Below are 22,902 nucleotides of genomic sequence, written 5' to 3' on the forward strand. Positions count from 1 at the left end.
ATTAATGAGGTAACAAATTATTGCCTTCATGTTGGGACAGAACAGGGCCAAATGGAAAAGAATGAAAGAGAAAGACAGATAGACACACACACACACACACACACACACACACACACACACACACACACACACAGAGAGAGAGAGAGAGAACGAGCTCAGTGAATTGTCCAGGTGACGCACTGATGAGGGAGTAACAGGACACTCTGAGTTAGTGCCCTCAGGACACACAGCATACAGGGATCATGAAAAGACTGTGCTCAATAATTTTCCATAAAATGTGCTCAAGTTTCCATGCAGTCACCATGAGAATACAGTTTTTGAAGTCTGGTCCACCTACAGTAGGTTAGTAAATGATAAGGGGAGGAAGAAATGGAAACCTAAATATCTACTGCAATGAAAACCAACAGCAATGTTAGTAGGAATAATTCAGGCTTGGTTGAAAAGATGTAATCGATAATGTCAGCCCGCTCTGTTTTCCCTGAACCAGGAGTCTCCAGATGTCAACACAGAAGTAGCTGTTCACAATTGCTCAGTTACCTGGGGCATGGTGGGTCTTGGTCTTCTTCCTCTTCTTCGTCCTTTTTAATTCCTGCAATACATTCAGACAGGGACAGACAAAATAAGCCAATTCACCTACACCCATAACAGTCCACTGTCTAATCCCCACACAGGGATCTCAGGCTCCTCAGCATGAGAACAGGACAATGTGAGAGATATACTTCAGGAGGCCTGAAAGCTGGTCATGATATTCTTTGGTTTGCATCTCAGAACCAAGGGTGAAATATCCCCATTCTGGTACATCGTTATCCCAAAATAATTTATCCCAAGTTTGTGCAAACAGTTATGCTTTATTGTTCCCATCAGTTCAAAGAAAATGCCCCAGATGATTTCCAGGAGGAAAACTAAAGTATTCAGCCCTGTCTCATCAAATGCCCAGCTCGTTCATGGATGCAAGAATTTTAGACACTGAAATTAGAATGAAGGAGGAAATCTACAAACCCTTCAGTCCAAATCATACTTCTGTGAATTTTTTACATCTGCCTGGGTCCAACGTGCTGAGAGCGGGCTCAGGTTGCCACAGGCATGGCTGGAGACTAGGAATAGAGCCTTGCTCACTGACCCATTCCATGTCTAGGCTTCCAACTGAGACTACAGTTTCATTACAACCTATATGCGCCCATAGGTCCTGCCTGCGGCAATGACGTCTCTCGGGTCAGTAAGGGGCACTTGGAACAGGAATATCACCCCTATCTGGAAGACCAGGTGGAGGCTTATCACCTTCACAGTAAGGTACTCACTGTCCACGTCAAGAGCCAAGCCAAGGTACTGTTCCTCCAATGAGTAAACAGCACTGCTGTAGGGCTGGCCTAAGTCAGGCAGTTCAAGATAACCTGAAGGAGTCGAATAACATCTATCCAGTGAGTCCTGCAAGACTTCAGGCTCTTTCTCATCCAGCAGCTCCCTGCTGAGCCTGGAAAAGTAGGAAAAAGTAAAGAATAAGCCAGGGGGAATCAGAAACCACACAGCCCCAGCTAGATTTCATGGCTAACATAAGGAACTGTTTAAAAAGAAAAAGGACAGATCCATTAATGAGGTAATGAATTATTGCCTTTATGTTGGGATAGACCAGGGCCAGGTAGAAAAGAATGAAAGAGAAAGACAGGGAGAGGGAGAGAGAGAGAGAGGAGAAAGTGAGCTCAGCGAATTGGCCGGGTGACACACTGATGAAGGGGTCAAAGGACACTCTGAGTTAGTGCCCTCGGGACACACAGCGAACAGTGATCATGAAAAGAGTGGGCTCAATAATTTTCCATAACCTTGCTCAAGATTCCATGCAGTTGCCATACAGCCTTTGAGGTATGGTCAACCTATAGTAAGTGAGTAAATGATAAGGGGAGGAAGAAATGGAAACCTAAACATCTACTGCAATGAAAACCAACAGCAATGTCAGTAGGAGTAATTCAACCTTCGTTGAAAACATGAAATTGAACACACTCTTGTTTTCCCTGGACCTGGCATCTCCAGGTGTCAACACAGAATTAATCATCCATAATTGCTCAAAGTTACCTGGGGCATGATGGGTCTTGGTCTTCTTCCACTTCTTGGTACTTTTCAATTTCTGCAATAAGTTCAGACATGGACAGACATATTAAGCTGGTTCTCCTAAACACACATAACAATCCACTGTCTAATCCTCACACAGGGACTTCAGGCTCCTCAGCATGAGAATAGGACACTGTGAGAGATATTCTTCAGGAGGCATGAAGGCTGATCACCATAGAGATTCCTTGGTTTTTGTCCCAGAAACTGTGGGTAAAATTCCCTATTCTGGTAGATCGTTATCCCAATATCATTTGTCCCAAGTTTGTGCAAATGGTTATGCCATATTTTTCCAATCGATTTAAAGAAATTGCCCCCAAATGGTTGCTAGGAGAAAAACTGCACTATTCAGCCCTGTCTCATCAAATACTCAGATTGTTCATGGTAGCGAGGATTTCAGACGCTGAAATTAGAGTGAAGGATGAAATCGACAAGATCTACAAAATTGAGACAAAATCAGAGTTGTGTGAATTTGTCACATCTGCCCAGGTCCAATGTCATGAGAGTAGGATTAGGGCGCCACAGGCATGGCCTGAGACTAGGAAGAGAGCCTTGCTCACTGACCCATCCCTTGTCTGGGCTTCCAAGTGGAACTAGAGTTTCATTCAACCTACATGTGCCTATAGGTCCTCCCTGTGGCAATGACATCTCTCAGCTCAGTAAGGGCCACTTGCAGTAGGAATATGACCCTAACCAGAAGACTCAGTGGATCCTTATCACCTTCATAGAAAGGTACTCACCATCCATGTCAAAAGCGAAGCCAACACGCTGTTGCTCCAATACATAAAAGGCACTTCTGTAGGGCTGGCATGAGTCAGTCAGTTCAAGACAACCTGAAGGAGTTGAATAACATCTATCCAGTGAGTCCTGCAAGACTTCAGGCCCTTTCTCATCCAGCAGCTCCCTGCTGAGCCTGGAAAAGTGGGAAAAAGTAAAGAATAAGCCAGGGGGAATCAGAAACCACACAGCCCCAGCTAGATTTCATGGCTAACGTAAGGAAGAGTTTGAAAAGAAAAAGGACAGATCCATTAATGAGGTAACAAATTATTGCCTTTATGTTGGGATAGAACAGGGCCAGGTAGAAAACAATGAAAGAGAAAGACAGAGAGAGAGAGACAGAGACAGAGACAGAGACAGAGAGAAAGTGACCTAGTGAATTGGCCAGGTGACATACTGGTAAGGGAGTCAAAGGACACTCTGAGTTAGTGCCCTCATGACACACAGCAAACTGTGATCATGAAAAGAGTGAGCTCAATAGTTTTCCATAAAATATGCTCAAAATTCGATGCAGTGGCCATGAGAGTACAGCTTTTGAAGTATGGTCAACCTATGGTACGTTAGGAAATGATAAGGGGAGGAAGAAATGGAAACCTAAACATCTACTGCAATGAAAACCAACAGCAATGACAGTAGGAGTAATTCAGCCTTCGCTGAAAACATGTCATCAAACACACTCTGGTTTCCCTGAATCTGTTGCCTCCAGGTGTTAACACAGAATTAAGCATCCACAATTGCTGAAAGTCACCTGGGGCATGGTGGGTTTTGATCTTCTTCCCCTTCTTTTCTTCCCCTTCTTCTTTCCTTCTTTGATCTTCTTCCCCTTCTTTTCTTCCCCTTCCCCTTCTTTTCAATTTCTGCAATAAATTCAGACATGGACAGACACATTAAGCTGATTCCCCTACACACATAACAATCCACTGTCTAATCCTCACACAGGGACCTCAGGCTCCTCAGCATAAGAATAGGACACTGTGAGAGATATATTTCAGGAGGCCTGAAGGCTGGTCATGATAGAAATTCCTTGGTTTTTCTCCCAGAAACTGTGGGTAAAGTGTCCCTATTCTAGTAGATCGTTATCTCAATATCATTTGTCCCAAGTTTGTGCAAACAGTTACGCCATATTTTTCCAATCAACTTAAAGCAAATACCCTCAAATGATTTCTAGGAGAAAAACTGCAATATTTAGCCCTGTCTCATCAAATACTCAGATTGTTCATGGTTGTGAGGACTTTAGACACTGAAATTAGAGTGAAAAAGGAAATCTACAAACCCTTGAGTCAAAATCATAGTTCTCTGAATTTGTCACATCTGCCCAGGTCCAATGTCATGAGAATAGGATCAGGGCGCCACAGGTATGGCCTGAGACTAGGAAGAGAGTCTTGCTCACTGACCCATCCCTTGTCTGGGCTTCCAGGTAGAACTAGAGTTTCATTCAACCTACATGTGCCTATAGGTCCTCCCTGTGGCAATGACATCTCTCAGCTCAGTAATGGCCACTTGGAGCAGGAATATGATCTTTATATGGAAGACTCAGTGGATTCTTATCACCTTCATAGAAAGGTACTCACCTCCCACGTCAAGAGAAAAGCCAACATGTTTTTCCTCCAATGCATAAAAGGAACTTCCATAGGGCTGGCAGGAGTCAGGCTGTTCAAGACAACTGGAAGGAGTTGAATAACATCTATCCAGTGAGTCCTGCAAGACTTCAGGCTCTACTACCTCCAGCAGCTCCCTGCTGAGCCTGGAAAAGGAGGAAAAAGTAAAGAATAAGCCAGGGGAAATCAGACACAACAGAGCCCCAACTAGGTTTCATGGGTAGCATAGGGAAGTGGTTAAAAAACTAAAAGGATAGATCCATTAATGAGGTAACAAATTATTGCCTTCATGTTGGGACAGAACAGGGCCAAATGGAAAAGAATGAAAGAGAAAGACAGATAGACACACACACACACACACACACACACACACACACACACACACACACACACAGAGAGAGAGAGAACGAGCTCAGTGAATTGTCCAGGTGACGCACTGATGAGGGAGTAACAGGACACTCTGAGTTAGTGCCCTCAGGACACACAGCATACAGGGATCATGAAAAGACTGTGCTCAATAATTTTCCATAAAATGTGCTCAAGTTTCCATGCAGTCACCATGAGAATACAGTTTTTGAAGTCTGGTCCACCTACAGTAGGTTAGTAAATGATAAGGGGAGGAAGAAATGGAAACCTAAATATCTACTGCAATGAAAACCAACAGCAATGTTAGTAGGAATAATTCAGGCTTGGTTGAAGAGATGTAATCGATAATGTCAGCCCGCTCTGTTTTCCCTGAACCAGGAGTCTCCAGATGTCAACACAGAAGTAGCTGTTCACAATTGCTCAGTTACCTGGGGCATGGTGGGCCTTGGTCTTCTTCCTCTTCTTGGTCCTTTTTAATTCCTGCAATACATTCAGACAGGGACAGACAAAATAAGCCAATTCACCTACACCCATAACAGTCCACTGTCTAATCCCCACACAGGGATCTCAGGCTCCTCAGCATGAGAACAGGACAATGTGAGAGATATACTTCAGGAGGCCTGAAAGCTGGTCATGATATTCTTTGGTTTGCATCTCAGAACCAAGGGTGAAATATCCCCATTCTGGTACATCGTTATCCCAAAATCATTTATCCCAAGTTTGTGCAAACAGTTATGCTTTATTGTTCCCATCAGTTCAAAGAAAATGCCCCAGATGATTTCCAGGAGGAAAACTAAAGTATTCAGCCCTGTCTCATCAAATGCCCAGCTCGTTCATGGATGCAAGAATTTTAGACACTGAAATTAGAATGAAGGAGGAAATCTACAAACCCTTCAGTCCAAATCATACTTCTGTGAATTTTTTACATCTGCCTGGGTCCAATGTGCTGAGAGCGGGCTCAGGTTGCCACAGGCATGGCTGGAGACTAGGAATAGAGCCTTGCTCACTGACCCATTTCATGTCTAGGCTTCCAACTGAGACTACAGTTTCATTACAACCTATATGCGCCCATAGGTCCTGCCTGCGGCAATGACGTCTCTCGGGTCAGTAAGGGGCACTTGGAACAGGAATATCACCCCTATCTGGAAGACCAGGTGGAGGCTTATCACCTTCACAGTAAGGTACTCACTGTCCACGTCAAGAGCCAAGCCAAGGTACTGTTCCTCCAATGAGTAAACAGCACTGCTGTAGGGCTGGCCTAAGTCAGGCAGTTCAAGATAACCTGAAGGAGTCGAATAACATCTATCCAGTGAGTCCTGCAAGACTTCAGGCTCTTTCTCATCCAGCAGCTCCCTGCTGAGCCTGGAAAAGTAGGAAAAAGTAAAGAATAAGTCAGGGGGAATCAGAAACCACACAGCCCCAGCTAGATTTCATGGCTAACATAAGGAACTGTTTAAAAAGAAAAAGGACAGATCCATTAACGAGGTAATGAATTATTGCCTTTATGTTGGGATAGACCAGGGCCAGGTAGAAAAGAATGAAAGAGAAAGACAGGGAGAGGGAGAGAGAGAGAGAGAGAGAGAGGAGAAAGTGAGCTCAGCGAGTTGGCCGGGTGACACACTGATGAAGGGGTCAAAGGACACTCTGAGTTAGTGCCCTCGGGACACACAGCGAACAGTGATCATGAAAAGAGTGGGCTCAATAATTTTCCATAAACTTGCTCAAGATTCCATGCAGTTGCCATACAGCCTTTGAGGTATGGTCAACCTATAGTAAGTGAGTAAATGATAAGGGGAGGAAGAAATGGAAACCTAAACATCTACTGCAATGAAAACCAACAGCAATGTCAGTAGGAGTAATTCAACCTTCGTTGAAAACATGAAATTGAACACACTCTTGTTTTCCCTGGACCTGGCATCTCCAGGTGTCAACACAGAATTAAGCATCCATAATTGCTCAAAGTTACCTGGGGCATGATGGGTCTTGGTCTTCTTCCACTTCTTGGTACTTTTCAATTTCTGCAATAAGTTCAGACATGGACAGACATATTAAGCTCGTTCTCCTACACACATAACAATCCACTGTCTAATCCTCACACAGGGACTTCAGGCTCCTCAGCATGAGAATAGGACACTGTGAGAGATATTCTTCAGGAGGCCTGAAGGCTGATCACCACAGAGATTCCTTGGTTTTTGTCCCAGAAACTGTGGGTAAAATTCCCTATTCTGGTAGATCGTTATCCAAATATCATTTGTCCCAAGTTTGTGCAAATGGTTATGCCATATTTTTCCAATCGATTTAAAGCAAATGCCCCCAAATGGTTGCTAGGAGAAAAACTGCACTATTCAGCCCTGTCTCATCAAATACTCAGATTGTTCATGGTAGCGAGGATTTTAGACGCTGAAATTAGAGTAAAGGATGAAATCTACAAGATCTACAAAATTTAGACAAAATCAGAGTTGTGTGAATTTGTCATATCTGCCCAGATCCAACATCTTGAGAGTAGGATTATGGTGCCACAGGCATGGCCTGAGACTAGGAAGAGAGCCTTGCTCACTGACCCATCCCTTGTCTGGGCTTCCAAGTGGAACTAGAGTTTCATTCAACCTACATGTGCCTATAGGTCCTCCCTGTGGCAATGACATCTCTCAGCTCAGTAACGGCCACTTGCAGTAGGAATATGACCCTAACCAGAAGACTCAGTGGATCCTTATCACCTTCATAGAAAGGTACTCACCATCCATGTCAATAGCCAAGCCAACACGCTGTTGCTCCAATATGTAAAAGGCACTTCTGTAGGGCTGGCATGAGTCAGTCAGTTCAAGACAACCTGAAGGAGTTGAATAACATCTATCCTGTGAGTCCTGCAAGACTTCAGGCCCTTTCTCATCCAGCAGCTCCCTGCTGAGCGTGGAAAAGTAGGAAAAAGTAAAGAATAAGCCAGGGGGAATCAGAAACCACACAGCCCCAGCTAGATTTCATGGCTAACATAAGGAAGAGTTTGAAAAGAAAAAGGACAGATCCATTAATGAGGTAACAAATTATTGCCTTTATGTTGGGATTGACTAGGGCCAGGTAGAAAAGGATGAACGAGAAAGACACACACACACACACACACACACACACACACACACACAGAGCGAGCTCAGTCAATTGGTCAGGTGACACACTGATGAGGGAGTCAAAGGACACTCTGTATTTGTGCTCTCAGGACACACAGTGAACAGTGATCATGAAAAGCATGTCCTCAATAATTTTGCATAAAATGTGCTCAAGTTTCCCGGCAGTTACCATGAGAATACAGCTTTTGAGGTATGGTCAACTTTCACTAGGTTAGTAAATGATAAGGGTAGGAAGAAATGGAAACCTAAACATTTACTCTAATGAGAACCAAAAAGCAATGTAGTAGGCATAATTCAGACTTGTCTGACAAGACAAAATCATTATTTTCAGGATGTACTGTTTTCCCTGGACTTGGCATCTCCAGGTGTCAACATCAAATTAACTGTCCACAATTTCTCAGACTCACCTGGGACCTGTTGCCTCTTGGTCCTCCTTTTTCACTTGATCCCACCGATGTCCTGCAAATAAATTCAGATGTGCCCTCTTACATTAAGTTCTTCCTTGCACACAGAAACATTCCTCTGTCCAATCCTAACACAGGGACATCAGTCTTGTCAGTGTGAGAACAGGAGACTTTCAGAGAAATATTCCAGTAGGCCTGAGGTCAAGTCTTGAGAAAACTGGCTTGGGTTCTTTCATGAGCCTTGGGCAAAATTCCCCTGTGTTGGAATGTTATCTTCCCTATGTGCTCTGTCCTAGGTTTATGTACACAAATGAGCAATTTTTTCCCCAATAAATTGTAGGCAAATAGTTCTAACACCTCATAGGAGAGATACTTCAATATTAAGCTTTCTCTCATCAAATACCCAGAATTTGATAGTTTATGAGATTGTGGACACAGAGATTTGATGAAGGGGTGCAATGTACCAGCTCTTGAGTCAAAATGAAACTTGGTTCTACACAGAAGCATCAGCTATTATGGCTTTTGTGGGTGAAAAGTCAGCCATTTATCTAGAAAACATACCAGGAACATGACGGACAGATGAGCTAAAACAAGCGAACTTAGAAGACACAGAAAATGGGAATAAATTCAGTGAAACCTGGGTCACATCTTTCACTGAGAGGTAGACAAGGGTGACACTGGCCTTGGGCAGGTAAAGAACCACACAGACATGCTTTGGGAACAAAACTCATAAGGAATTTTGTAGCTGGCAAGAGACATTTAATTCAGATGAGCTGATCTGACAGACAACTCCTGGGCATGTGCTACATAGTTTGGTGTGAGTTTGCCACACCTGCCTTGAGTTTAATGTCGTGACAGTCAGTCCAGGTTGGCACGGGCATGGCCTGAGACTAGGAAGAGAGTAAAGCTCACTGACCCACCCCATGCCTGTGCTTCAGACTTGACTCCAGAGTGACTGAAGTCTACATTGATATATAGGTTCAGCCCACGGTGATGGCAAATCTCAGCCCAACAAGGGGCACAAGGCCCAAAGATTATGGGGTCTACCTGGGCCATGAACTGGAGCTTTATCACCTTCACAATGGAGTACTCACTGCCTATGTCAACAGCCATGCAGACTTGCTGTTCCTCTAATGAGTGAAATGTGCTGCTGTAAGACTGGTACGAGGCCAACATTTCAGGAGGAATTGAGAGAGTCGAATAACCTTCATCCCAGGACTCCTGGGGGACTTCCTCCTCTTCAGACTCCTGCAGATTCCTGATGAGCCAGGCAGGACAGGGATGATAGAAGATTTAACCAACAGACATTAGACAACAAAACCTCCCAGATGATCTGATGGGAGACAGAATGGAGTGGTCACAGAAACCAAAGGCATTTTTCCTTCAAGAGAAATAAAACTATCCTTCTAAATACAGGGTGGAGGGTGACTGCTCTGGGGACAGAGCAAAAATGGGCAGCATGTGCTCAGTACATTTGCCACAGATGAGCCAACTCAGGGCACCCGGACTCTCCCTGTAAACTACCATCATGACTTGCAGCACAGAGAACTGACACAGGGCTTCAACTACTTTGCATAAATTGGGTTGAATTTTACATGCAGCATTCAAGTGAAGAGAGTTCTTGACGCAGTGCAGACACAGATCTTGTGTATTAAGGGCCCCATTTTCCCAATATTTTGATATAATATATTTACTTTTTCAATTTCTTTTCTTGCAAAAATACTAGCCAACATACTACCAACAAATAGGAAGAAAGAATATATACACCTCTCCCTGGATTTAAACACATGGGAGAGAATAGGCAACACCAAGAAATCCCTGTTTGAGGGTCTGGAGTGGACTTCCAGCAAACTCCAACAGACCTGAAGCTGAGGGACCTGACTGTTAGAAGGAAAACTAACACACAGAAAGGAATAGCATCAACATCAACAAAAAAGACATCTACCCCAAAACCCCATCTGTAGGTCGCCATCATCAAAGACCAAGGGTAGATAAAACCACAAAGGTGGGGAGAAACCAGAGCACAAAAGCTGAAAATTCCAAAAACCTGACATCCCTTCTCCTCCAAAGGATCGCAGCTCCTCGCCAGCAATGGAACAAAGCAGGATGGAGAATGACTTTGATGAGCTGACAGAAGTAGGCTTCAGAAAGTCGGTAATAACAAACTTCTCTGAGCTAAAGGAGGATGTGCGAACTCATCGCAAGGAAGCTAAAAACCTTGAAAAAAGATTAGACAAATGGCTAACCAGAATGAACAGTGTAGAGAAGACCTTAAATGACCTGATGGAGCTGAAAACCATGGCACGAGAACTACGTGATGCATGCACAAGCTTCAGTAGCCAATTCGATCAAGTGCAAGAAATGGTATCAGTGATTCAAGATCAAATTAGTGAAATGAAGCAAGAAGAGAAGTTTAGAGAAAAAAGAGTAAAAAGAAATGAACAAGCCTCCAATAAATATGGGACTATGTGGAAAGACCAAATCTACGTTTGATTGGTGTACTGAAAGTGACGGGGAGAATGGAACCAAGCTGGGAAACATTCTTCAGGATATTATCCAGGAGGACTTCCCCAACCTAGCAAGGAAGGCCAACATTCAAATTCAGGAAACACAGAGAACACCATAAAGATACTCCTCGAGAAGAGCAACCCCAAAACACGTAATTGTCAGATTCACCAAGGTTGAAATGAAGGAAAAAATGCTAAGGGCAGCCAGAGAGAAAGGTCGGATTACCCACAAAGGGAAACCCATCAGACTAGCAGCAGATCTCTTGGCACAAACCCTACAAGCCAGAAGAGAGTGGGAGCAATATTCAACATTCTTTTTTTTTTCCATATGTATAGTTTTCCTTTATTATTTTTTGTGTGTATGTATATATATATATATATTTTTTAATACTTTAAGTCTTAGGGTACATGTGCACAACGTGCAGGTTAGTTACATATGTATACATGTCCACATTGGTGTGCTTCACCCATTAACTCATCATTTAACATTAGGTATATCTCCTAATGCTACCCCTCCTCCCTCCCCACACCCTACAACAGGCCCCAGTGTGTGATGTTCCCCTTTCTGTGTCCATGTGTTCTCATTGTTCAATTCCCACCTGTGAGTAAGAACATGCGGTATTTGGTTTTTTGTCCTTGCAATAGTTTGCTGAGAATGATGGTTTCCAGCTTCATCCATGCCCCTACAAAGGACATGAACTCATCATTTTTTATAGCTGCATAGTATTCCATGGTGTATATGTGCCACATTTTCTTAATCCAGTCTATCATTGCTGGATATTTGGCTTGGTTCCAAGTCTTTGCTATTGTGAATAGTGCCGCAATAAACATATGTGTGCATGTGTCTTTACAGCAGCATGATTTATAATCCTTTGGGTATACACCCAGTAATGGGATGGCTGGGTCAAATGGTATTTCTAGTTCTAGATCCCTGAGGAATTGCCACACTGCCTTCCACAATCGTTGAACTAGTTTACAGTCCCACCAACAGTGTAAAAGTGTTCCTATTTCTCCACATCCTCTCCAGCACCTTCAACATTCTTAAAGAAAAGAATTTTCAACCAAGAATTTCATATCCAGCCAAACAAAGCTTCATAAGTGAAGGAGAAATAAATCCTTTACAGAGAAGCAAATGCTGAGAGATTTTGTCACCACCAGGCCTGCCTTACAAGAGCTCCTAAAGGAAGCACTAAACATGGAAAGGAACAACCGGTACCAGCCACTGCAAAAACATGCCAAACTGTAAAGACCATTGACGCTAGGAAGAAACTGCATCAACTAACGGGCGAAATAACCAGCTAACATCATAACGACAGGATCAAATTCACACATAACAATATTAACCTTAAATGTAAATGGGCTAAATGCCCCAGTTAAAAAACACAGAATGGCAAATTGGATAAAGAGTCAAGACCCATCAGTGTGCTGTACTCAGGAAACCCATCTCACATGCAGAGACACACATAGGCTCAAAATAAAGGGATGGAGGAAGATCTACCAAGCAAATGGAAAACAAAAAAAGGCAGGTGTTGCAATCCTAGTCTCTGATAAAACAGACTTTAAACCAACAAAGATCAAAAGAGACAAAGAAGGCCACTACATAATGGTAAAGGGATCAATTCAACAAGAAGAGTTAACTATCCTAAATATATATGCACCCTATACAGGAGCACCCAGATTCATAAAGCAAGTCCTGAGAGACCTACAAAGAGATTTAGACTCCACACAATCATCATGGGAGACTTTAACACCCCACTGTCAATATTAGACAGATCAATGAGACAGAAGCTTAACAAGGATATCCAGGACTTGAACTCAGCTCTCCACCAAGCAGACCTAAAAGACATCTACAGAACTCTCCACCCCAAATCAACAGAATATACATTCTTCTCAGCACCACATCACACTTATTCCAAAATTGACCACATAGTTGGAGGTAAAGCACTCGTCAGCAAATGTAAAAGAATGGAAATCACAACAAACTGTCAGACCACAGTGCAATCAAATTAGAACTCAGGATTAAGAAACTCACTCAAAACCACACAACTACATGGAAACTGAACAACCTGCTCCTGAATGACTACTGGGAAAATAACAAAATGAAGGCAGAAATAAAGATGTTCTTTGAAACCAATGAGAACAAAGACACAACATACCAGAATCTCTGGGACACATTTAAAGCAATGTGTAGAGGGAAAATTATAGCACTAAATGCCCACAAGAGAAAGCAGAAAAGATCTAAAATTGACACCCTAACATCACAATTAAAATAACTAGAGAAGCAAAGCAAACAAATTCAAAAGCTAGCAGAAGACAAGAAGTAACTAAGATCAGAGCAGAACTAAAGGAGATAGAGACACAAAAAACCCTTCAAAAAATCAATGAATCCAGGGCTGGTTTTTTGAAAAGATCAACAAGAAAACCCTGTTTGGCTAGTTCACCTGGCTCATCTGATGGCAAGTTCCTATCTTGAGAGGACTATGAAATTAAAACCAATACAAGTGCCACAAATAACATACAACATTGTAAATCAGCACAATTTGTAGCTGGGTGAATGGAAGAAATAGTTCTATTCATCACTTCCTCATTTTCCCTAAATCTACAATCTCCAGATGTCACTACTGAATTAACAGCCAACAATTCCACAACATTACCTGGGAGACACTGGCCCTTTTTCTTCCTCTTCCTCATCATCACTTTCATTTTCTGTAAATAAATTCAGAGAAGCAGGTCACATTAAGCAATTCATACTTCACATATGAACAAATCACTGTCCAGTCATAGCACAAGGACATAACTATTCTCAGTGCAAGAATAAGGATTCTGACAGGAATATTCTAGGGTGTCCTAGATTAACTTTGGTGAGAATTAGATGACCCTGCTTTCCAGACCCACAGGCCAAAATCTCCCTCTACGTGTAGACCATAATGCCATATTCCCTGCCTGAGTCAAAGTTAAACAAAATTTTTTCCCCAAAAAAATCTCCAAAAATTGGTCAAACAATTTTCTAAGAGTGTTGCTGCGATACGGACTTATATCACCAGGTAACATGGACATTAAATGTTTAGAGGCATCTATACATGAAACACGACTGATAGATAAATTTGAACAACTCTTGCTTTAAAAAGAATCTGTGATTTGGGAGGCCAAGACAGGTGAATCATTTGAGGTCATGAGTTCAGGACTACCCTGGCCAATATGGGGAAACCCTGTCTCTACTAAAAATACAAAAATTAGCCAGATGTGATGTTGTGCACCTGTGGTCCCAGCAACTCAGGAGGCTGAGGCAGGAGAATCACTTGAATCTGGGAGGCAGAGGTTGCACCAAGCCAAGATGGTGCCACTGCACTCCAGCCTGGGTGACAGAGCAAGACTCCATTGCAAAAAAAAAAAAAAAAAAAATCCACGATGCTACAAAGAAACATTGGATCAGCCATTGCATTGACAGGGTGGAGAACCAGGGTCCAGCCTTGCTTTATGGAAATATATCAGCAAAGTAAAGAAGAAAAGTTTCCGTCCTGATTTCAGGGTGACTGTGCAGCTAAGCAAGCTGACTTAAAGGAGATCCAGATGAAAGCTGAGAGCAGTGAAGCCTGGGGAACAATATTTCCAAATACAAAGGCAAGGCTGCCAGCTTCCTTAAACAGGCATAGAAACTCCATGGACATTGTTCAGGGACAGATGACTTAATCACAGATGACAAGAGATACTGAATCGAAGATAGGAGGCCTGACAGATACTGCCTGTGCACCTCCTGCACTCAGGTGACTATGAGATTGTCACACTTGCCTGGGGTTGAGTAACTTGATACTGGGGACTGGCAGACAAAGTCATGACATTAGCTGAGAAGGACAAACAAACTCCCTGATATCTGTTTAGAAACCCATCACAGTTTTTTATTCAAATGAATTTGTGTTTATAGAGCCTGTCTTCAGAGTTTATCTTTCTCAGCCTAGAGAGAGGTATGAGACACAAGGAAAACAGAGGCTACCTGGAATAATGTGTACAGCATCCTCCCATTCAACATGAGAGGATGAGCCAATGAGAGTTGAGTCGACTTTGTCTTCCTCAAATGTGATTTTGGTTTTCCTATGTGGCTGGTTGGAGTCATAAGAGCCATGGCTATTTGAATAAGTGATGGCACATTCCTCCAGTGAGTCCTCAGGGACTTCCTTTTCTTCAGCCTTCTGCATCTCCCTGATGAGCCAGGTGGGACAGAGATGACAGAAGATTAAACACAGAGGGATTGGACCCCAGGGAGTCCTAGCTGGTTTTGACAGGCGGCATTAAGAGAGTGGTCCCAGAAAGCAAAATGGAGGTTCCCATTAAGAGGGAACATGCAATCCTGTTCTCTCTGCAACAGAGCATGGCTGCCATGGGAACCAGAGAGGAAGAGAGCAGCTGCTGTTCATTGCACTGGACAGATAGGAGCTGAGGAGGATGAAGACTCAGCTATCCCTGTACGGTGCAGACATGACACTCAGCACACATAGAGAAACATGACAGCTACCGCACCCTGTGTCTAAGCTGGATTATATTTCACATACTGTGGCCAAGCGAATGCGGGTTTTTGGCCCATCATAGATGCCAGAGAGGGTGTGCCTCCTAGATATTCCTCATATGTTACCATCCATTAATTGTTCCTGAGTATTCAGTGTTACCTGGGGGCAGATGATTTCTGCACTTTCTCAGCCACCTCAACTTGAACATCTTCATCGTCATCGTTGTCATTTTCTGCAAATACAGAAGTGTTCGTTCAGGTATTTCCCACTTCACAGTCTGCAAGCACAGTCAGCCCAATGTGCAACAGAGACATGAACATCTAGGCATGGGTCACCGTTCAACTGAAAACTCTCATGTTTTATCTTTAACAGAATGCCCTGGCATGGTTTCCTGATCCATCAGGCAATGCATTTCTGATCTGGAGGGCCACCATCAAGATGTGGCCAAATATTGAAAAGACCTTTTGCTTCCCATATCACTGGAGGCTTGTGCAGCCTCTCTCTGGACGTTGGCAGCTGTCTCCCCCATCCTGCCAGATCTGATTCCCAGGCACAGGCTTGGTGTCCTGTCACGGTTTGCATTTCAAACCTCATTCTTTCTCTTAGAAGCAGACAAACTTGTCCCACAGTCCTCTATGCATCAGAAGATTTCAAGCCTCCAAGTGGCTTCTGCTGTGTTCTTCAGGGACATTCTATCCATGGGGAGTGCTCCAGTCTGAAGCACTTCCTACCACAAAACGCCCCCACATAAAGTGCCTTCTCCAACATCACACGGCAAGGGCCTTCATCTCATTTTGGAAAGCAGTTGTAAGTGTTCCCACATTTGAATGCTTCAGACCCTTGCAAGAGACAATTTGTCTGCCACGGAGAGAGAGAAACTCAGGAAGGACAAGTCATTCACTCTCTGACAGTTACTAAGAACATTGCCGAAAAGACAGCCTGGGAACCTTCATTCTTAGTCCTGAGCTCTTTTCACTCTAACAAGCCTGCTCCCATCGCAGCCTCCTTCCTGTCCTTTAAAACTAGACAGATGCTGCCTCTTGCTCCAAAGACCACCTTTCATCAAGGGAGGAGGGACACTTGCAATACTGTGACCTCCAACCCCATGGGTTTCCCATCTCCGTTCTTACCCAAGAAGTCCTGGTCATGTCATGGCCACATAAGCTTAGTGGAAAAAAACACCATTGATACAACTGTCATTGTGAAAGTATGGAGGTCTGGAGTCTCTCATAAGCCTGGGATTTTGGGTCATCAGGGCCTATGGCCACCTTACCTGGGCTGAGCTTTTGGACAAGGTGCTGTGCCAGTCTACACCCCTCAGCCAGCTGTTCTTGGAGGTCCTGCCCCTGGGACTTGTCCGGCTCATACGGAGTGAGGAGGGCCTGGAGATGCTCATTCAATGAGCGGGAGGCATCTCTCCCTTCCCGTAACTTCTCCTTTAACTGGGTCAGCTCTCGTTCCTGAGCGTGAACCAGGACTTTATATTGCCTAAGGTGAGACGGTAGAGAAAATTTAAGAGTGGAAAGGGTTGAGTGATCCGCTCAAATATTGCAACAGAGATTTCTGAGACAATGTCCTCAAGGAGACCTCGAAGCAGAAGGTCAGCACATGTGGAAAGGAATGTCTGTGGCCAAGAGAAAGAATAGAAAATGGTTTACAGGCTTCCTCTGTATCAGAGAGGGCTCTTGCAAGATCCTCGATGATGTTCCATTCATCTTTCTCTTCTGTAAACAAAAGTAGGTGTCTTCCTAATTCCGTTTCAAAAAGACATCCTTTCAGTTCCTCACTCTGGCCATGGACATTTCCATGTGAAAATACACATAGTGCATCTTGCGGCCACTAGATACAAAGCCATGTACAGAAATGAGGCCAGGTGCAGATGGGGCGAATTGAAAAGATGAAAGAAGAAAAGAAGGACAGGGTCGAGAAGGCAACATTGATTGAGTGAAAGAATGAGAAGCCGCAGTCAGTCAGGAGGTGATTCTCACTAAGGGTAAGTGGGGTGGTGATGGCACACCATTTTGAGTATACTGAATGCTGCTGTGTGGTTCACACTCCTTTGGTTAATTTTGTGTTATGTAAATTTCACATCAACAATTACTTGTTTGAAAAAGAGAAAACAAGGCTCTGAGAAACAACTGCAACCCATACATTTTTACTATCCTTCTTCTCTGATAAATATTTGTGTGTAGCGAGCCTGCCATGGCAATTCCTGCCCTTCCCCTGGCCCAGCTTAGCTCTTACGTCTCCCCACCGAGCTGCTGTACTTCAGAGATTTACACACCTGCGCCCCTGCCTGCCCCCATGGGGTCCCCTCACCTGAGCTCCTCAGCTTGCTTGAGCTGCTCTGCAAGCTTCTCCTCCTTGAACTGTCGCTCATTCCTCAGCATAAATTTTATGAGGTCTTTGCACTCTTCATATTCTGAGAAAAGACAGACACACCTGCCTCAGTGGAAGGCTGGACATGCTGCTGTGGTCATTGCCTACAGGACAGGAGCCAGGTCCATCCCAAGGACAAAACTCTCCCCAGTACCAGGGTCTAGACAGGGATTTCCACATCTTTACTCTTCAGTCTCCTGACTTTCTGGCATCTGATCCTCCAAAATTTAGAGATGAAGAAAGAGAACCTCAAGGGCACATCAAGGAAGTTGACAAGATGATTCAACCACAATGAAGTGGAGTCAGAATTCACAGTCCCTGAGGTCTGACTCTGAATGCGGGGCCACTTTCCCAAGCCTTGCAGCCTCTCCTCTAAAACACTGCACTGGGGCATGAAGTAGTGATTTCTTGTACAGTCGGGAAGGCCCCTAGGACTATGGGACTGATGGTTTCCCTTTTACTGGGAATTTCAAGGACAAGTATGCGAAAGATTTTTAAAATCTTTGATTTTTAAATCATATCTTCAGTTATGATTTTAAGAATCATATCTGAAGCATAAAGTGTGACACATAACACCATAAGGCCATGAAGGAAATATGCCCAAATGCTAATAAAGTTTGTGTTAATTTAGAAACAGCAGAATGAAGAACTAATAGATAGTGTTTACTGTGTGCCAATAAATGTTCTAGGAGATTGACAAGAAATAGCTCATGTAATTCACTGCAGCAATTTACAGAGGTAGGTATTATTGTAGTACCCTCTGAACAGGTGAGGAAACTGAGGGACAGACAAGACAAGCAACTTGGATGGAGCCCAGGAGACAGGCCCACGGTCCCTGCTCTGTACACTGCACTGCTATCTCCACACATTCTCGGGTGCGATCTTTCTTCCTCTTTAGCAACAAGACTCTGTGCCCCAGGAAGCAGGACTTCACTCTCACCAAGCTACTCTCTGCTTTTTATTCTTATTTTTATTTATCATTATTATTATTATTATTTTTAACAGTCTTGCCCTGTCGCCCAGGCTGGAGTGCAATGGCAAAATCTTGGCTCACTGCAACCTCAGCCTCCTGGGTTCAAAGGATTCTCCTGCCTCAGCCTCCTGAGCAGGGGTGATTACAGTCACCTGCCACCACGCCCATCTACTTTTTGTATTTTTAGTGGAGATGGGGTTTCTCCATGTTGCCCAGGCTGGTCTCAAACTCCTGACCTCATGATCTGCCCGCCTCAGCCTCCCAAAGTGCTGGGATTACAGGAGTGAGCCACCATGCACGGCCCCTACTCCCTGCTCTTGATGCTGTCACTTATAGACAGCACAGGTTCTATTAGGAGTAGACTCCTCTTGAAGCCCCTCAGAGCAGGTACTGGCTACTATCACCAAGTTCCCCTCAGAGTCACTAGAACAGAGCTTTGCCTGTTGGGCCTCAACAGAAACTTGAACTGAATAAAAGTTCACTAGTCTCAGACATTTAGAACAACAGACTAGATGTTATTTGTCTGCAGGATCTTATATGGTACAGAGAGGATTCTTGAAAACACGATTGAGCCTCTTGGAGAAAACAGGTCATTCTGTGCCTGTGTCAGAAATCAATAAATGGCAGTTTAACTCTAGTCCCACCCCCACCTGATTGCAAACATGGAAAGTTGCTAAATACTTTGGTACCTCTGTCTTCCAACTTTGACAAAATGTTAAAATACCCATTTCTGTTTTCCTAGAAGTACAGGAAGGATGAAATTATTTTTGATGGAGAGAGCATTTAGTGTCTCAGAGAGAAGACAGGATATCATTCATCACTTTCATGATGGTGAGCCTATAGATCTTACTGTATTTCTTCTGTTGGTTGGCCAGGAAGCCGGACAGTTGAGTTAGAAAACATTTCTCTTTGAGGTTTCTGAACTGCTGTTTCTTCTCTGCCAGCTGGGGGCGCAATTTCTCATTGATTTCTAGAATGTTCATCTCTGCCTTCTCGCTGGACAAAGGGCCGGCTGATACCACCATGCTGACGTTTGTGGCAGAAGAGGTGGGGCCAGGGACTGGGGAGAAGAAAGGCAAACACATGATGGGTTAAAAACTGGTGAAATCAAATAGGCTTAATCAGGACTGAGGGATGTCACTGGCAGCCTTGTTTACTTATTTGAAGATGATGTTTCCCTGGTTTCACTCTTGTCATCTCCAGTCTTGATCTCCTTTAAGTCAACTTGTCTTAGCTATGCAGTCACCTTGAAACCAGGACATAAACACTTCTACACTTTTCTTGCTTATACGTTTCTATAAAGCAAGGCTTGGCCCTGAGATTTTTACCCCATGAGTGGCCAATGTTTCTGTGTAGCACAAAAGATTTCATTTTGCTTTTTTAATTTTTTTCTTTTTTGGTTTTTTGTTTTTTGTTTGAGACGGAGTCTCACTCTGTCACGCAGGCTGCAGTGCAGAGGCACAATCTCAGCTCACTGCCACCTCTGCCGCCCGGGTTCAAGCGATTCTCATCCCTCAGCCTGCCAAGCATCTGGGATTACAAGCGCCAAGTAACATGCCAGCTAATTTTTGTATTTTTAGTAGAGACGGGGTTTCGCCATCTTGGACAGGCTGGTTTCGAACTCCTGAGCTCAGGTGTTCCGCCCACCTCAGCCTCCCAAAGTGCTGGGATTAAGATGTGAGCCAGCGCCCCTGGTCAGAGACTTACTTTTTTTTTTTTTTTTTTTTTTTTTGAGATGGAGTCTCGCTCTGTCTCCCAGGCTGGAGTGCAGTGGCACAATCTCGGCTCACTGCAAGCTCCGGTTCCTGGGTTCATGCCATTCTCCTGCCTCAGCCTCCTGAGTAGCTGGGACTACAGGCGCCCACCACCACGCCCAGCTATTTTTTTTTTTTTTTTTGTATTTTTAGTAAAGACGGGGTTTCACCGTGTTAGCCAGGATGGTCTCAATCTCCTGACCTCATGATCCACCCGCCTCGGCCTCCCAAAGTGCTCGGATTACAGGTGTGACCCACTGCGCCCAGCCGAGACTTATTAATAGCTAAGACAAGCCAATGAAAAGGAGAGAGAGTCTAGCCTGACAGAAGTGAATGAGAGTGGGAGGATCATCTCAGCCCATCCTCCCACCTAAGTCTCCTGAGCAGTTGGGACTATAGGCGTGCAGCACCATGCCTGCCTAATTTTTTGTATTCTTTGTAAAGATGGGTTTCACCATATTGTGTAGGCTGGTCTTCAACTCCTGAACTCAAGTCATCGTCCCACTTGGGCCTTCCAAAGTGCTGTGATTATATGTGTGAGTCACAGCACCTAGCTCCATCCTAGTTTCTGACTAAAACAATAACAATATGTGTATATACAGCCTGTCCTCAGAATTGATCTTCCATAGCCTAGACAGAGGTATGAGACACAAGGAAAATAGAGGCTACCTGGGAGAATGTTTAGAGCATCCTGACATTCATCATGAGAGGATTCTCTGTCTACAACCAGAGTTGAGTTGACTTCGTCTTCCTCAAATGTGATTTTGATGTTCTTGTGAGGCTGGTTGGAGTCACAAGGGCCGTGGCTATTTGAACAAGTGATGGCACATTCCTCCAGTGAGTCCTCAGGGACTTTGCTCTCTTCAGCCTTCTGCACCTCCCTGATGAGCCAGGTGGGACAGAGATGACAGAAGATTAAACACAGAGGGATTGGACCCCAGGGAGTCCTAGCTGGTTTTGACAGGCGGCATTAAGAGAGTGGTTCCAGAAAGCAAAACGGAGGTTCCCTTAAAGAGGGAACAGGCAATCCTCTTCTCTCTGCAACAGACCATGGCTGCCATGGGAGCCAGAGAGGAAGAGAGCAGCTGGTGTTCAGTGCACTGAACAGATAGGAGCTGAGGAGGATGAAGACTCAGCTATCCCTGCATGGTACAGACATGACACTTGGCACACATAGAGAAACACGACAGCTGCCGCACCCTGTGTCTAAGCTGGGTTCAATTTCACATACTGTGGCCAAGGGAATGCGGGCATTTGGCCCATCATAGATGCCAGAGAGGGTGTGCCTCCTAGACATTTTCATACGTTACCACCCATTACTTGCTCCTGAGTATTCAGTGTTACCTGGGGGCAGATGATTCCAGTACTTTCTCAGCCTCCTCAACTTGAACATCTTCATCCTCATCTTCGTCATTTTCTAGAAATACAAAATGTTCGTTCAGATATTTCCCACTTCACATTCTGCAAGCACAGCCAGCCCAACGTGCACAGAGACATGAACATCTATGTATGGTTCAGCATTGTACTGAAAACTCTCATGTTTTATCTTTCACAAAATGCCCTGGCATGGTTTCCTGCTCCATCGGGCAATGCATTTCTGATGTGGAGGGCCACCATCAAGATGTGGCCAAATACCGAAAAGACCTTTTGCTTCCCATATCACTGGAGGCTTGTGCAGCCTCTCTCTGGACTTTGGCAGCTGTCTCCCCCATCCTGCCACAGATCTGATTCCCAGGAACAGGCTTGGTGTCCTGTCACAGTTCGCATTTCAAACCTCATTCTTTCTCTTAGGAGAGGACAAACTTGTCCCACAGTCCTCTATGCGTCATGAGACTGCACAGGCCCTCCATGTGGCTTCTGCTGTGTTATTCAGGGACATTCTATCCATGGGGAGTGCTCCAGTCTGAAGCACTTCCTACCACCAAATGCCCCCACATCAAGTGCCTTCTCCAACACCACATGGAGAGGGGCTTCATCTCATTTTGAAAAGCATTCGTAAGTGTTCCCATATTTGGATGCTTCAGACCCTTGCAAGAGACAATTTGTCTGCCTTTGCAGATGGAGAGAGAGAAACTCTGAAAAGATAAATCACTCACTGACACTTACTAAGAACATTGCCAAAAATACAGCCTGGGAACCTTCATTCTTAGCCCAGAGCTCTTTTCACTCCAACAAGCACCCTTCCATCACAGCCTCCTTCCTGTCCTTTAAAACTAGATAGATGCTGCCTCTTGCTCCAAAGACCACCTTCCATCAAGGAAGGAGGGACACTTGCAATACTGTGACCTCCAAACCCATGGGTTTCCCATCTCTGTTCTTACCCAGGAAGTCCTGATCATGTCATGGCCACATAGGTGTAGTAGAAAAAAACCCCACTGATACAACTGTCATTGTGAAAGTATGGAGGTCTGGAGCCTCTC

General features: G+C 44.2%; 1 protein-coding gene across 2 annotated transcripts in view; it reads right to left on the minus strand.

Annotated features, from left to right (window-relative positions):
- Positions 1 to 22,902, minus strand: part of NBPF10 (NBPF member 10) — an 80,106-nt gene that overhangs the window by 53,959 nt on the left and 3,245 nt on the right. For both annotated transcript variants that reach the window (NM_001039703.6, NM_001302371.3), the window contains exons 4-23: positions 21,827 to 21,899; positions 21,152 to 21,363; positions 19,579 to 19,788; positions 17,696 to 17,798; positions 16,650 to 16,864; positions 15,536 to 15,608; positions 14,866 to 15,071; positions 13,529 to 13,580; positions 9,462 to 9,625; positions 8,371 to 8,422; positions 7,579 to 7,751; positions 6,808 to 6,859; positions 6,031 to 6,203; positions 5,270 to 5,321; positions 4,449 to 4,621; positions 3,626 to 3,734; positions 2,841 to 3,013; positions 2,068 to 2,119; positions 1,299 to 1,471; positions 538 to 589 (exon numbers count right to left, since the gene is read on the minus strand). In NM_001039703.6, the coding sequence (NP_001034792.4) occupies positions 538 to 589; positions 1,299 to 1,471; positions 2,068 to 2,119; positions 2,841 to 3,013; positions 3,626 to 3,734; positions 4,449 to 4,621; positions 5,270 to 5,321; positions 6,031 to 6,203; positions 6,808 to 6,859; positions 7,579 to 7,751; positions 8,371 to 8,422; positions 9,462 to 9,625; positions 13,529 to 13,580; positions 14,866 to 15,071; positions 15,536 to 15,608; positions 16,650 to 16,864; positions 17,696 to 17,798; positions 19,579 to 19,788; positions 21,152 to 21,363; positions 21,827 to 21,899 (2,542 nt within the window). The remainder of the gene's footprint in view (positions 1 to 537; positions 590 to 1,298; positions 1,472 to 2,067; positions 2,120 to 2,840; positions 3,014 to 3,625; positions 3,735 to 4,448; positions 4,622 to 5,269; positions 5,322 to 6,030; positions 6,204 to 6,807; positions 6,860 to 7,578; positions 7,752 to 8,370; positions 8,423 to 9,461; positions 9,626 to 13,528; positions 13,581 to 14,865; positions 15,072 to 15,535; positions 15,609 to 16,649; positions 16,865 to 17,695; positions 17,799 to 19,578; positions 19,789 to 21,151; positions 21,364 to 21,826; positions 21,900 to 22,902) is intronic.

This window comes from Homo sapiens, chromosome 1, assembly GCF_000001405.40.
Source record: "Homo sapiens chromosome 1, GRCh38.p14 Primary Assembly".
Lineage (NCBI taxonomy): Eukaryota > Metazoa > Chordata > Mammalia > Primates > Hominidae > Homo > Homo sapiens.